Raw genomic sequence first — 14,755 nt, 5'->3', positions numbered from 1 at the left:
CGAAGAGAGATGGCGACTTGGTGTTGCCAGCCGCAGAGCAGGCGGGGCCGGAAGCAGGGATTGCAATGCCCGGTGGGAAGCTGAAAGCAGGGAGGAGGCTGAGCCGGAGCTCAGAGCCCAGCTGGTGCATATTTATGTCTTCCTTATTGCAAAGCTCATGGGTGACAGACACTTGGATGCGCGCAGTGAAGCATTTGGAACGCCACCCAAGCCTGCCTTCTACGAGTCCAGGATTGTGGCTGCGGGCACCAACCTCACACCCCCATGAAGTCACCGGGTCACCAGCTATAAAATCAGCTCATTAAGAAAATTAAAACTGGAGGCCAAGCACAGTGGCTCATGCCTTTGGGAGCACTTTGGGAGGCCGAAGTGGGTAAATCACCTGAAGTCAGCAGTTTGAGACCAGCCTGGCCAACATGGCAAAACCTGATCTCTACTAAAAATACAACAATTAGCTGCTCATGGTGGTGCACGCCTGTAATCTCAGCTACTAGGGAGGCAAAGGCAGGAGAATCACTTGAACCTGGGAGGCGGCGGTTGTAGTGAGCCGAGATCACGCCACTGCACTCCAGCCTGGGCAACAGAGTGAGACTCTGTCTCAAAAAGGAAAAAAAAATTAAAATTGGATCTCTTTTTTTAGAGGCCAGGTGTGATGACTCCAGCCTGTAATCCCACTGCTTTGGGAGGCCCAGGCGAGAGGATCACTTGAGGCCAGGAGTTTGAGATGACCCTAAGCAACATAACAAGACCACATCTCTACAAAAAATAAAATTTATAAATAAATTTTTAAAAAATAGAAATTAAAGAAAAATTAAACATGAGACTGCTGTAATCCCAGCACTTTGGGACGCAAAGGCGGGCAGATTGCTTGAGCCCAGGAGGTCAAGAACAGCCTGGGCAACACAGCAAGACCCTGTCTCTACAAAAAATGCAAAAGTTAGCCAGGCGTGGTGGTGCACACCTGTAGTCTCAGCTACTTGGGAGGCTGAAGTGGAGGACTGCTTGAGCCCAGGAGGTTGAGGCTGCAGTGAGCTATGATCACGCCACTGCACTCCAGCCTGAGTGACCAAATGAGACCTTGTCTCAAAGAAAAATTAAATTAAATTAAAATATAAAGCATGAGACTGAATGATGCTCCACAAACACAGAATGGAGTCTCCCACAGGGTAGAATATAGGGGCTACACCCAGGTCCACCCAGACAGCAATGCAGGGCAGGGAGGAAGCTGGGCATTAGAATGAGAGATTAGAAAGAAAAATGGGAACAGGGATCTAGAAATGAGTATTTTTCTAACCATATTATCTCTTTTGCACACTTAGCTAGCACCGTAATGTGGGCAGGGAAAGGGTTATTAACCACCTGAAATATGAGATCCTACCATCTGAAAACGTCCTGAACCACAGCGGCAGCGGCAATGTTATTTATGGAGGTCTCTTCCACCCTTAGTAACAGAAAGCGCGGCTGTGAACAAGGAGCTCTCCAGCACCGTCGTGACATCCCTTTGGTGAGTTCAGAGACCAAAATTAGCCCTATCGCCTGGCAGTCTATCTTCAGGTGCTACCACTAAATGCAATTACATGTGCATAACAAAAGACAGTCACAGCCACAGGCTGTTCATCAAGCTGGCCCAGTAGGTATCAATGCAAATGTGTGTGTCACGTATACACGCATATGGGGGAAAAAACCCATTAGCACTCAGGAAAAGTTCCGCAGGTTCCCAGGCCTCATCCTTTTTCATTTTCTCTGCTATTCCTCTGAATCTGGCTCCCAAGACAGAAGAATTCACTGCTTCGAGAGAAAAAAAAATTCTATTATTCCAACTTTCTTTCCTGGAGCATAAAGAGTGAAAGTGGCCGGTGAGATTTCTTTAGCAGGAAGAAAGTTACTTCTCCATTTTGGCTACCGGGTGTTATAAAACAAGTGGATGCAAGCGCTGACCTGGAGGTCCCCTAAGTGGCCCTACATCTCCACCCAGCTCCAAAGGTGACCTGCGGGAAGGGCCTCATTCCCTCCAGAACCACCCCCAGCTTCCCAAAGTGCTGCTGGGCACAGTCTGCAAACTCTAGTGGGCAGGGGTGGGGTGAAGAAAGGAGAGGAGGCAGGAGCCAGCACTATGCTACGGTTCACATCCCTCTTTTCAGAGACAAGCTAAGAGGATTAAAGAGGTAATTGTTGCTTCTGGAGCTCTTCAGCTATAAGATGCTCTATAAATACCAATAACCACCCCCTCAAGGGAAACACATTTCATTACAGTGGAGGTAAACACTGCACCAGCCTGCAAGAAAGATGTGATGGATCACGAAGGGATTTGCTGCCATTCTAAGCAGACTGATGGAGAGTAATTATTAAGCATCGTGAGTGATCCACACAGTGTCCAGCTCTGACTGCAGGCCCGAGCTCCCTGGGCTGCTTGTAATTGCCCAATGGGTTCTTCCTGCCCACTCCACAGACAAAAGCAATTCACTGAGACCATGGCATTGCAACAAGAAAGAGTTTAGGCCAGGCGTGGTGGCCTACACCTGTAATCCCAGCACTTTGGGAGGCCAAGGCGGGCAGATCACCAGGTCAGGAGTTCGAGACCAGCCTGACCAACATGGTGAAACCCCGTCTCTACTAAAAATATAAAAATTAGCCGGGCGTGGTGGTACACGCCTGTAATCGCGGCTGCTCAGGAGGCTGAGGCAGGAGAATCACTGGAACCTGGGAGGCGGAGGTTGCAGTGAACCAAGTTCCTGCCACTGCACTCCAGCCTGGGCAACAGGGCGAGACTCCATCTCAAAAAAAAAAGAGAAGAGTTTAATTGACACAAGGCCAGCCACACAACATGGGAGACAGGTTATTACTCAAATCAACCTCAGAGGCTACGGTTTTTCAAAGATAGTTTGGTGGGTCAAGGACTAAGGGAATGGGTGCTGCTGATTGGCTGGGAATGCAATCATAGGGGTTTGGAAAATGGTCCTGGTGTACTGAGTCCCTTTCTAGGTGGGGCCACAGGACTGGCTGAGCCAAGAGTTGAGGGTCCAGGTGGGGCCACCTGGTCATCAGAAATGCAAAAGGTGGAAAAGACATCTCAAAAGGCCCATCTTGGGTTCTAACACCACAATAGTGATGTTATTTACAGGAGTAATTGGGGAAGTTGCAAATCTTGTGATCTCTGGAATAATGGCTGGTAACAATTTAATTATGCCCACGTCTTAGTAGAATTCAGGCCCCTCTCATCCTCCTAACCTGGTGGCCTTTCATTAGTTTTATAAAAGCAGCTCAGTTTGGGGGAAAGGCTATTATCATTTAAACTATAAACTAAATTTCCCCCCAAGTTAGCTTGACCCAAGCCCAGGAATGACCAAGGGCTGTTGGAGGTTAAGGGCAAGATGGCAGTTGGTTAGATCCGATCTCTTTCACTGTCTTATTTTTTCTCACTGTTACAATTTTTGCAAAGGCAGTTTCATGCTTGCATCTCATATATCTACACGTTTCCATGTGGCCATCCAATGTGCACTTATTAAACATCAACTCTATGCCTGAGAGGCAGTGGAACCTAGCAGTTGGGTGCATGGGCTCTGGGGCTAGGCAGCCTAAGTGGGGATCCTAGTTCTGCCTGCTCATCACCTACACGGCCTTGGGCAAGTCCCTTAAACTCTGAGCTCCTCCCTTTCCTCCTCTGTAACATGGGGGTGATAAGAGAACCCACCCCACGAGGTTATTGTGAGAAGTCAACAAGATCATCTGAGCCCAAGTGGTTAGACCCTAACGGACACACAGCAAGTGCTATCAAAGGGATTGCTATTAGAGGTACCTAGCAAATAATGGCTCTATAGGATTTTGTTTATTCCTTGAGTGGTTTTTTTTTGTTTTTTGTTTTTTGTTTTTGAGATGGAGTCTTGCTCTGTCGCTCAAGCTGGAGTGCAGTGGCGCGATCTCGGCTCACTGCAACCTCCGCCTCCCGGGTTCCAGTGATTCTCCTGCCTCAGCCTCCCGAGTAGCTGAGATTGCAGGCGTGCGCTATCACGTCCAGCTAATTTTTGTATTTTTAGTAGAGACCGGATTTCAGTTGGCCAGGCTGGTCTCGAACTCCTGACCACCCATCTCGGCCTCCCGAAGTGCTGAGATTACAGGTGTGAGCCACCGAGCCCGGCCAAGTATTTTAAATTAGATTATTTTGGTATCAACAACTAGAGGAAACAGGAAGGATCTGCCAAGCAGGTGTGGACCAAGCCCCTACCCAGTGACCAGAGATGTGTGGGAAACAGACAAGAAGCAGAAGACAAGGTCACTGAATTTGGAGCTTACCAGGGCCCCAACAATGAAGGGGTGCTTAGGCCTTTTTTTAGTCTTTGGCTGCCAGGAAGTGGCATTTGGGGGGGCAGAAAGCAGAGCATGTATCCAGGACGTCGTTGAGAACTGTGGACACAGTGATAATAAGCAGCAGACTGCGTTATAGTGGATTTTATTGTTGCTTTAAGTTCTGCACAGACAATGCACTCCCTCGGCTCCTCCTCCTGCCCCGTCCCTTTGCCTTGGTACACCCATGCATGCCAGGATCCCAGCCAGAAGAAAGAAGAGCCGCTCTCCTGAACCTACCCGTGCCTCCTGGGCAGTGACAGGCTTCCCTCTGCTGCGGGCTCCTGAGCTGTACATACTCTAAAGGCCAGAGCACACCTGTGGGGCGAGAGACAGGCCCAGGTGAGAGTCCCTGTCCTGCCCCTTGGCTGAGTGGGAGACTCAGCACAGAGCTGCTCAAAGCATGGTCCCCACAGCAGCGGCGGCAGCAGCAGCACTGCTGGGGAACTTGTTAGAAATGCAGCTTCTCGGCCGGGCTCGGTGCTGGCGCCTATAATCCCAGCAATTTGGGAGGCTGAGGCAGATGGATCACCTGAAGTCAGGAGTTCGAGACCAGCCTGACCAACATGGTGAAACCCCATCTCTACTAAATACAAAAAATTAGCCAGGCGTGGTGGTGCGCACCTGCAATCCCAGCTACTCGGGAGGCTGAGGCAGGAGAATCACTTGAACCCAGGAGGCAGAGGTTGCAGTGAGCCAAGATCGCACCACTGCACTCCAGCCTAGGCAACAAAAGTGAAACTCCGTCTCAAAAAAAAGAAAAAAAGAAAAAAAAATGCAGCTTCTCCAGCGTCACTGGGGACCCACTGGCTCAGCAGCGCCGTGGGCAGGGCCAGGAGCCGTTTTCACATACTCCACAGGAGACTATGATGCATCTTCAAGTTTGAGAGTCATTGGCTCCCAAAAAAGTTACTAAAATGATTCTGAGTCAGAGTTCCCCCATTCATAAAAAAAGAGTTAATTGGGCGCACCTCATAAGGCTATTGTAAGAATTAAAGGAGAAAATACGTCAAACACTTGGTAGAGGGCCCTAAACGTTGCAGGCGCTCAGGACGCTGTGGCGATGACTATTATTATCATTCATGTCAGCAGAACAGATTTACCAAACAGCAGTAACTCAGAAACAGCGGGGAGGATGGAATCTGTAACAGGGAAGCGGTTTAAAGGAGAGCATGAGAGAGAGGCTAAGATCCTACTGCACAGTGCCCAAGAGACAGGAAACTCACAGTTCCTCAGGATTTGGGGTCGCCAGTCCAGGTTACCTGTGATCCAAGTTTCAAGATCCACAGAGATCCCCACCAACTCTGACTCCTCAAGTACCTTGGATTTGGAATTCCAGGAAATAAAAGTGCACCCCGTATTACTGTTAAAATAAGGACAGGCCAGGGGCAGTGGCTCATGCCTATAAATGCTGGGACTCGTTGGGGCCAGGAGTTTGAGACCAGCCTGGGCAACATAAAGAGACACTGTCTCTACAAAAAATAGAAAAAAAAAAATTAGACAGGATGGTGGTACATGTCTGTAGTCCCAGGTACTCAGGAGGCTGAGGTGAGAGAATTGCTTGAGTCCACGAGGTTGGGGCTGCAGTAAGCCATGATCACACCAACACTCTAGCCTGGGTGACAGAGCGAGACCTTGTCTCAAAAAATAAGTACAGGTTGGGTGCAGTGGCTCACGCCTGTAATCCCAGCACTTTGGGAGGCCGAGGCAGGTGGATCACGAGGTCAGGAGATCGAGACCATCCTGGCTAACACGGTGAAACCCCGTCTCTACTAAAAAAATACAAAAAAATTAGCAGAGCGTGGTGGAGGGCACCTGTAGTCCCAGCTACTCAGGAGGCTGAGGCAGGAGAATGGCATGAACCCGGGAGGCGGAGCTTGCAGTGAGTCAAGATCACACCACTGCACTCCAGCCTGGGTGACAGAGCAAGACTCTGTCTCCAAAAAAAAAAAAAAGAAAAAGAAAAAAAGAAAAGGTGATATAAAGAGGCATAATAGCCAGATGGACAGCATCTAGAATTCAGGAACTAAGGAGAGAATGTGCTGAAAGAATCCCATCTACAAGACTGGAATAAAGCATACGGGATTCCATGGGATCCAACACCACCACTGCCTGAAACGATGGCAGAGGTCACGAAGGCTTCCCCGCAGCCAAACACGGTGGATGTTTGTCAATCACCTTTCCCCTCTGGCATCGCACAGGTGAGCACTCCCTCCGCCTTCAGCTTCTTCCCCCTTGACTTCCAAGACACCGTCTGCCCTGGTTCTCATCTGAACACCCTGCCCCTCCCTCCACAGTCTCCTCTGTGGGCTCCACTTCCCTGGCCCATGTGACTACCACACATCGTCCTGTCTCTTCCAGCCCCTTCACCTGTCTACCTAAATCCCGTTCTTCCTGCTCTGGAGTCTGCAGTGGTGCCTATGAAGAGAGTAGAATGGGACCACACTCCAGGGGAGACTCCGCCTCCTAATCGTGCCCCTTTCGTCTTCCCCAGTCATCTCAGATGGACACAGGAGTAAACAATGAAGAGGACAATCTTCTGCTTTTTTGAGCCAGAGTCTTGCTCTGTCACCCAGGTTGGAGTGCAATGGCATGATCTTGGCTCACTCCAACCTCCGCCTCCCAGGTTCAAGCATTCTCCTGCCTCAGCCTCCCAAGTAGCTGGCATTACAGGTGTCCACCACTACTCCCAGTTAATTTTCGTATTTTTAGTAGAGACGGGGTTTCACCATGTTGGCCAGGCTGGACTCGAACTCCTGACCTCCAGTGATCTGCCCGCCTCGGCCTCCCAAAGTGCTGGGATTACAGGTGTGAGCCACCGCACCTAGCCAGGACTTCTCTTCTTCTTGTGACCTGCGTTCTTTCTGACAATCCCATGCCCCGGGCATTGGCGATGACTCCATAATCCCTCAAGCTTCAGGTCCATCCTAGGCATCAGACCTCTCCACCCAACTGCCTACATAACTCTGCCTGGATATTCCAACAGCAGCACAAGAGCAAGTTACCTGCCAGTAAACTCATTGTCTTTCCCGTAACAGCCACTCCTCTAACTGTGGGCTTCACTCCAATCCCACATAACAGGACCTGGAGCAGACAGAACGGAGAGCTGGGTTTCCTCCAGTGTACAGATGGGCAGGCCTGCTGAGAAGGGACTTATGGGGCCAGACGATGAAGGGCTGGTAAGAGAAAAGCTGCCATGACTAATCCCAACTTCAAGTTCAAAGTAGGGTAAGAAAAGAGGTGGAAATACTTATCACATTTAATATCAAATTATCCTCCCAGTTTCATCTGTCACCTTCGAAACAAACCAGGAACATATGACCCTCCCCACTCCAGATTCCCGAAATTAAAAAATCTCGACATGATAAGAGAAATTTTTGTAAGGAAATATAATGATCTTCGCTGAGTAAGGATCTAAATTTACACTCATTATACGGTATCTTTATTTCATTTTTCCAGCTTCATTTTATAGTCACATTGTAATTATCTTTACCCTGCAGATCGTCTGTAGATCCCAAGGGGCTTCCTCCCCTGTTCTGGGGTGCCCTAAAATAAATGCATGCTCTGTGGTCTCTCAACCCACCCTCCCCCTTTTCCAGACATCCTAGTTCATGGTCATCTAGTCACCCAAGCTAGAGATCTGGGATTCACTCTAGACTTCTTTTTTTTTTTGAAACAGAGTCTCGTTCTGTTGCCCAGGCTAGAGTGCGGTGGTGTGATCTCGGCTCACTGCAACCTCCGCCTCCCAGGTTCAAGCTATTCTCCTGCCCCAGCCTCCTGAGTAGCTGGGATTATAGGCACGTGCCACCATGCCCAGCTAATTTTTGTATTTTTAGTAGAGATGGGGTTTCACCATGTTGGTCAGGCTGGTCTCAAACTCCTGAACTCGTGATCCGCCCCCCCTCGGCCTCCCTAACTGCTGGAATTACAGGCATGAGCCACCCCACCCGGCCTAGACTTCTCTCTTCCTCATGTACCACCATTTAGTGCAAACTGATGAATTCCCATAATGTCTATTTCCTACGCTGCGCTCAAATCACCACTTTCCCCACCCCTCCCTCTCCTGTCAACTCTTCTAGCACCGCCATCACTCAGGGAGCCATGCCTCTAGCATGAACTATGTTCACTGTGGTTCCTATTGAATACAAGTGCGAGGAGAACCAGTTCTAGAACACAGTCCCTCTGAAGTCCATCTCTAACATCATATGCATATGATTCATGTGACACAGCAGCAAAAAAAGGGGAGAAGGAAGCAACTTCCATGTCCATCAACGAACTAATCCTAGTTCCCAAACTCAGACCTAGGAGGGGTGAAGAACTCACAGAAGACCTAAAGGAACTGCAGGAAGGGTCTCAAACAGATATTTGTACACTCATGTTCACAACAGCATTACCCACAATAGCCAACAGGTAGAAGCAACCCGGGTACCCATGGATAGAGGAATGGATAAACAAAAGGTGGTACAGCCAGACAGTGGAATATTACCCAGGCTTAATGGGGAAGGAAATCCTGACCCATGCTGCAACATGGACAAACCTTGAGGACATTATGCTAAGTGAAACAGACCAGACACAAAGGACACATACAGTATGACTCCACTTATATGAGATCCCTAGAGTAGTCAAATTCGTGGAGACAGAAAGCAGAATGGTGGCTGCCAGGTGCTGGGGAGAGGAGGAATGGGGGGCTTGTTGTTTAATGGGTGCAGAGTGTCAGTTCTGCAAGATAGGAAGAGTTCAAAACATGGATGGTGGTGATGGTTGCGCAATAATGTGAATGTACTCAATGCCACCGAACTGCACATTATAAGATGATTACAATGAATTCGACCCAGCAATTCCATGACTAGGTATATACCCAAAGGAATGTGCACCATCCTACCATAAAGACACATGCATGCTACGTTCACTGCAGCACTGTTCACAGTAGTAAAGACATGGAATCAACCTAAATGCCCATCAATGGCAGACTGGATAAAGAAAATGTGTTACATATGCACCATGGAATACTATGCAGCCATAAAAAAGAACAAGATCATGTCCTTTGCAGGAACATGGATGGAGCCGGAGGCCATTAGCCTTAGCAAAAAAAAAAATGCAGGAACGCAAAACCAAATACTGCATGTTCTTACTCATAAGTGGGAGCTAAATCATGAGAACACATGGACACCTTGAGGGGAACAACGGATACTGGGTCTGCTTGAGGGTAGAGGGTGGGAGGAGGGAGAGACTCAGAACAAATAACTATCAGGTACTATGCTTAGTACCTGGGTGATAAAAAAAATCTGTACAGCAAACCCCCATGATATGAGTTTACCTATATAACAAACCTGTACAACTCCCTGAACATAAATAAAAGTTAAAACAACAAAAATAATAATATCTACCTCAAATAAATGGTTAAAAATGGTAAAGTTTATGTTATGCAATGTTTTAACACAATAAATAGGATGGTTAAAGAACCATCCTCGGGCCAGGTGCGGTGGTTCACGCCTGTAATCCCAGCACTTTTGGAAGCCGAGGCAGGCGGATTCTTAGGTCAGGAGATCGAGACCATCCTGGAAAACACGGTGAAACCCCATCTCTACTAAAAATACATAAAAAATTAGGCAGGCGTGGTGGTGGGCTCCTCAGCTACTCAGGAGGTTGAGGCAGGAGAATGGTGTGAACCCAGGAGGCGGAGCTTGCAGTGAGCCGAGATTGCACCACTGCACTCCAGCCTGGGTGACAGAGCAAGACTCTCTCAAAAAAAAAAAAAAAAAAAGAACGATCCTCATTGAAGAGGTAGCAGTTAGGGACATGGTGACACAGTCTAGCCTATTGCTTCCTGCCCCTCCCCTCTTCCTCTGACTCCCAAAGGCACTGTTGGTGGAACCACCAGCCTCCCACTGGACCCAGAAGTAAAAAGGAAGTCCAAGGGGACTCTAAATCCTGTCAACATATGACTTAATTCAAATATTAAATGCCATTAGTTTTGTTATTAACTATCCTGGGTTTAAAAATAGGTTCCAGAATTGCCTTTTCAGTACTCACAATTGTAAGAAAGAGGTTCTAAAAGAAAGTTCCATGAGAATCCCCTACAAAAACTGCAGAGGACTTCCTAGCAGTCTCCCTGGTTCAAATCTCCATGTGTCTCTCAGGATAAGGAATTACCTTGACAAATTTGAGATCCTTTTCCCTGTTACTTAACACCTCTCCATGGCTCTGCAATGCTCGCAGGATCAAGTCCAACTCTAGAGTGTGAGAGCAGCAGCTGGGCGGTTGGGAGAGCCGACTCCGCCATCTAGTCACCAGTGTAGACTCCCCGGGCTTGCAGCTGGCCCTACAGCCTGCTGCCAGGTGACCTCAACAAATCTCAGCCTCTCTGGCCTCAGTTCTTCCATCTGTAAAATGGAGACAATAGCAGTTCCTACCTCCTACAGTTGTTATAAGGATTGAGTGAATTAATATCTACGAAATACCAGACAATACCTTGCACATAATAAGGACTATGAAAGGGTTCATTATTGTTACAGTTTTTTTTTCTTTTTGAGTCAGAGTCTCGCTCTGTCACCCAGGCTGGAGTGCAGTGGTGTGATCTCAGCTCACTGCAACTTCCACCTCCCAAGTTCAAGCAATTCTCCTGCCTCAGCCTTCCGAGTAGCTGGAATTACATCACCACACCCAGCCTCAGTTCACTATTGTTATGATTTTGATAGGCAAAGGTCTTCACGATGTGGCCACAGCCTACTTTTTCCAAGTGCAACTTCTCCCCCTGGATTCCCACATGACATCGCTGCTGGCCTGTGCCCCAGCATGCCACACCTGTCTGTGCCTACAGCTTCTGCATCCACCATTGCTTCCACCTGGCGCACCCTCTCCCCTCCTGCCCCACATTGGCCCAGCAAACTCTAACAGGCATCTGTTTACCATCTACAGCTTTCCTGACTTCCGGTCAGGCATACGCTCACTTTCCTCTGTGTTTCTGCTCATCCTGGCCACCTCAGAGCAATCCCCACATGGATATTTCAGCTTCCCTGGCTCCCTGGGTAAGGAGCAGCGAGTTCCTGCAAGGCAAGAACTGAGCCACTCATCCCTGTACTCGCAGCCTCAAGTTAAGGGCCCTGCATATAGAAAATGATCAATAACAGCCGAGTGAATGAGGCCAGGCGCGGTGGCTCACGCCTGTAATCCCAGCACTTTGGGAGGCCGAGGCGGGTGGATTATCTGAGGTCAGGAGTTCGAGACCAGCCTGGCCAACGTGGCGAAATCCCATCTCTACTAAAAATACAGAAATTAGGTAGGCGGGGTGGCGCATGCCTGTAATCCCAGCTACTCAGGAGGCTGAGGAAGGAGAATCGCTTGTACCCAGGAGGCGGTTACAGTGAGCCGAGATCATGTCACTGCACTCCAGCCTGGGTGACAGAGCAAGACTCCATCTCAAAAAATAAAATAAAATAAGCTGAATGAATTGAGTGCCGAACTGAAGAGTGAGACAGTGACTAGGGATGAAGGGAGAGGAAAAAACAAGAAACAACCCAACAAGCGAGGCCTCCCTGCATAGAGGGAGAAGGGATGTGTTCGAATGAGAAGAAGCAGAGCAAGGTTTTGAATCACAGGAAGGAAAGAAGCTCAAGGCACATGAGGAAGAGCAAGCAGAATATGGGACATGGACCATCTGAGGCCTACAGAGCTCACCAGGCCTAACCTATACATGCTCGTGATAAGTTTAGACATGAAAACACAGACAGGCAAGGGGGAAATGAAGGCAGAGCATCGCTGTGTCTCAGCGTGTCCCCACACCTTAGTAAAGAGAGTTACAAGTGACTGTGAACTCGACAAAGGAGAAGGTTAAGGGTGGACGCATCTCAGATTAAACAGGAATCAAGTCAAACTCAGAGACAGCTTTTCCTTTTTTCTTTTTCTTTTCTTTTTCTTTTTTTTTTTTTTGAGACAGAGTCTTACTCTGTCTCCCAGGCAGGAGTGCAATGGTGCAATCATAGCTGAATGCAGCCTCAAATTCCTGGGCTCAAGTGATCCTCCCACCTCAGCCTCCAGAGTAGCTGGGACAACAGGTACGCACCACCAAGCCCTGCTAATTTTTTTGTATTTTTTTGTAGAGAGAGAGTCTTGCTATGTTGCCCAGACTGGTCTTGAACTCCTGGGCTCAAGCGATCCTCCCATCTCGGCTTCCCAAAGTGCTGGGATTACAGGTATGAGCCACCACACCTGGCCAGAGACAGCTTTTTCAACATATCTCTCCTTAGCAGGAAAGGAATAAATAGTGCTCGCAGGAAAGGAAGAAATCAGATCCATTCTGCAGGCAGGGAGCTCAGTGGAGAACCAGGAGGGGTGGGAGTGAAGGGGCAGGCATTCTAGCCCTGCCTTTCTTGATTCTCAGGAAGGAATGAGCTGAAAGGCCCTTGGCCAATACCCTGTCAACCTGGATAGCTCCTGCCCTGTTCCTCCTCAGGTTTTAGGCTGCTGAGCTCTAGTCAAAGGACCTCGGACACGGTTCACATGGTCACCTGATGTGTACACAGCCAGCACACAGCCAGCCCTACCCTGGCCACTAAGAAACAGGTTCACCACCTTGAACGAGGTGCTGTTTACAGTCAGCGGTCAACACAGACAGCATTTGGGTCTCATGCCCAAAGGTAAACATGAAAGAGAACCATAGAGGAAGCCACTCCCACATGGACCCAGACACATTGATCCAGACCAGGGGCTGATCCAGAGCAGGGCTGATTCCCACTTTGAAAGTGGGACAAAGCCTGTTTCCTGCAGCCTGCAGTGAACATGTGCGCTGGGGTGGGGGAATCAGTCACCAGTAGTGGCCACTCAGCCTCAAGCTTCAGATCGATACAGATACAGGCACACAAGAAAGTAGAACTAGAAAAAAGCATGGAGGAAAATAATGTGGGAAAAAGACACAAAGGGAGGAAGGAGGAAAAGGAGCAAAAAAGAAAGAGGGGAAGTCATAAAGCGGCTCTAACAAAAAGAAGGCAAATCAACCAGGGCTCCTGGAGCACAGCCCCACCACGCACACACGCACGCACGCACGTACACACACACAAGGTGGCTTGGTTTAGTACAGAGGTGGTGGCAGTACACTGGGCCATAAGCACACCTCAAGCCATGGTTTCTTGGGATTCAAAAACCACACACGACCGGGCAAGGTGGCTCACGCCTGTAATCTCAGCACTTTGGGAGCCGGAGGTGGGTGTATCCCTTGAGGCCAGGAGTTCAAGACCAGCCTGGCCAACATGGTGAAACCCTATCTCTACCAAAAACACAAAAATTAGCCGGGTGTTGTGGCAGGCACCAGTAATTCCAGCCACTCGGGAGGCTGAGGCAGCAGACTCGCTTGAACCCAGGAGGCAGAGGTTGCAGTGAGAAGAGATCGCGCCACCGCACTCCACCTGGGCGACAGAGCGAGACTCCATGTTGGAAGAAAAAAAAAAGAAGAAGAAAAAGAAGAAGAAGAAGCATACACAGTATTTTAGGGATTTTAGTGAAAAATTTACAATATGGGTAAATGCCCAAGATATGTCACTCTGTGGAAAAGGGAAGAAACAACACACAATACAAAAGCAATTGTGTTGACTATGCACAGAAAAGGTCTGGAAAATACATAAAAAATCTCACAGTGGTTATTTCTGAGTGGTGGGATTAGAGTTGATTTTTATACTCCTGGTCAAGTCTTTATATATCATACAAAGGAATGGCATGGCACACTTTCCTAAATTTAAAAAAGCTGCCCTAAATATACCATATAGAAAGCCAAAGTTTTCAAAAGCATTATAGAGAATTGTTATGAAATCCAGGAGGTAAATGCAGACCTCAAGGCTAGCTATATTTATATAATCATGGACATTTTTGAGACAATCTGAAAAACCTAACAATCTGGTTGTTTATTAACAAATGAACATTTGAAATCATTTAGACATATCTTCAAGTCCAAAGAAAAATCTAAAGCAATCAAGCAAATATTCACTATCCTTCTGTCTGGTATTCTCCCATTTATATAACTATCAGAATATGCCCTGATAAAGTGTTCGATACTTAAGAAGAATGGTACCCTAACACACCAAAAAAGTGACAACAGGAAAAAAAACAATCAGCCAGGAAGAAAAAAGGTTCTGAAAGAACTGATTATATACAATGACTGAAAAGATGAATCTAACACATGCATTTACCAAATCCTTTGAAAGGGTCATTTCCACTAAAGTGTTCTCCAAGTAAAATATAACATTGTTTTCTCCAGAAGGTGCACATTTTAAAATTGGATTCTTAAAAGCTTATGAAATAATATACTAATAAACACATTTACAAAAGCTTTTTATGATATTAGCTTTTCCCGGAAATAAGCTATCCAGGTTTCCACATCATAAGCTGTAGTTGTGTAGTTATGTGTTTATGAATTAGTCATTCC

The 14,755-nt window shown here is 47.8% G+C and overlaps 1 protein-coding gene and 1 long non-coding RNA gene across 8 annotated transcripts in view, besides 1 other annotated feature; both read right to left on the bottom strand.

Moving 5' to 3' along the window:
* Nucleotides 1-14,755, bottom strand: part of CAMK1D (calcium/calmodulin dependent protein kinase ID) — a 485,999-nt gene that overhangs the window by 351,241 nt on the left and 120,003 nt on the right. The gene's annotated exons all lie outside the window — the stretch shown is intronic.
* Nucleotides 1,275-1,881: an enhancer, noted in NCBI's record as "OCT4-NANOG hESC enhancer chr10:12524423-12525029 (GRCh37/hg19 assembly coordinates)". NCBI's record gives its function as "activates a minimal SCP1, AML or CMV promoter by ChIP-STARR-seq in primed H9 embryonic stem cells {active_cell/tissue: H9 hESC(primed)}" and the evidence as "EXISTENCE:reporter gene assay evidence [ECO:0000049][PMID:30033119]".
* Nucleotides 7,194-10,897, bottom strand: LOC107984209 (uncharacterized). Its single transcript, XR_001747366.1, has 2 exons — nucleotides 10,495-10,897; nucleotides 7,194-7,517 (listed from the first exon to the last, which is right to left on the bottom strand). It is a non-coding gene; the product is annotated as an uncharacterized LOC107984209 (long non-coding RNA).

The sequence above is a fragment of the Homo sapiens genome, chromosome 10 (genome assembly GCF_000001405.40).
Source record: "Homo sapiens chromosome 10, GRCh38.p14 Primary Assembly".
NCBI classification, from domain to species: domain Eukaryota; kingdom Metazoa; phylum Chordata; class Mammalia; order Primates; family Hominidae; genus Homo; species Homo sapiens.
This window is presented reverse-complemented; position numbering and strand designations above follow the sequence as displayed.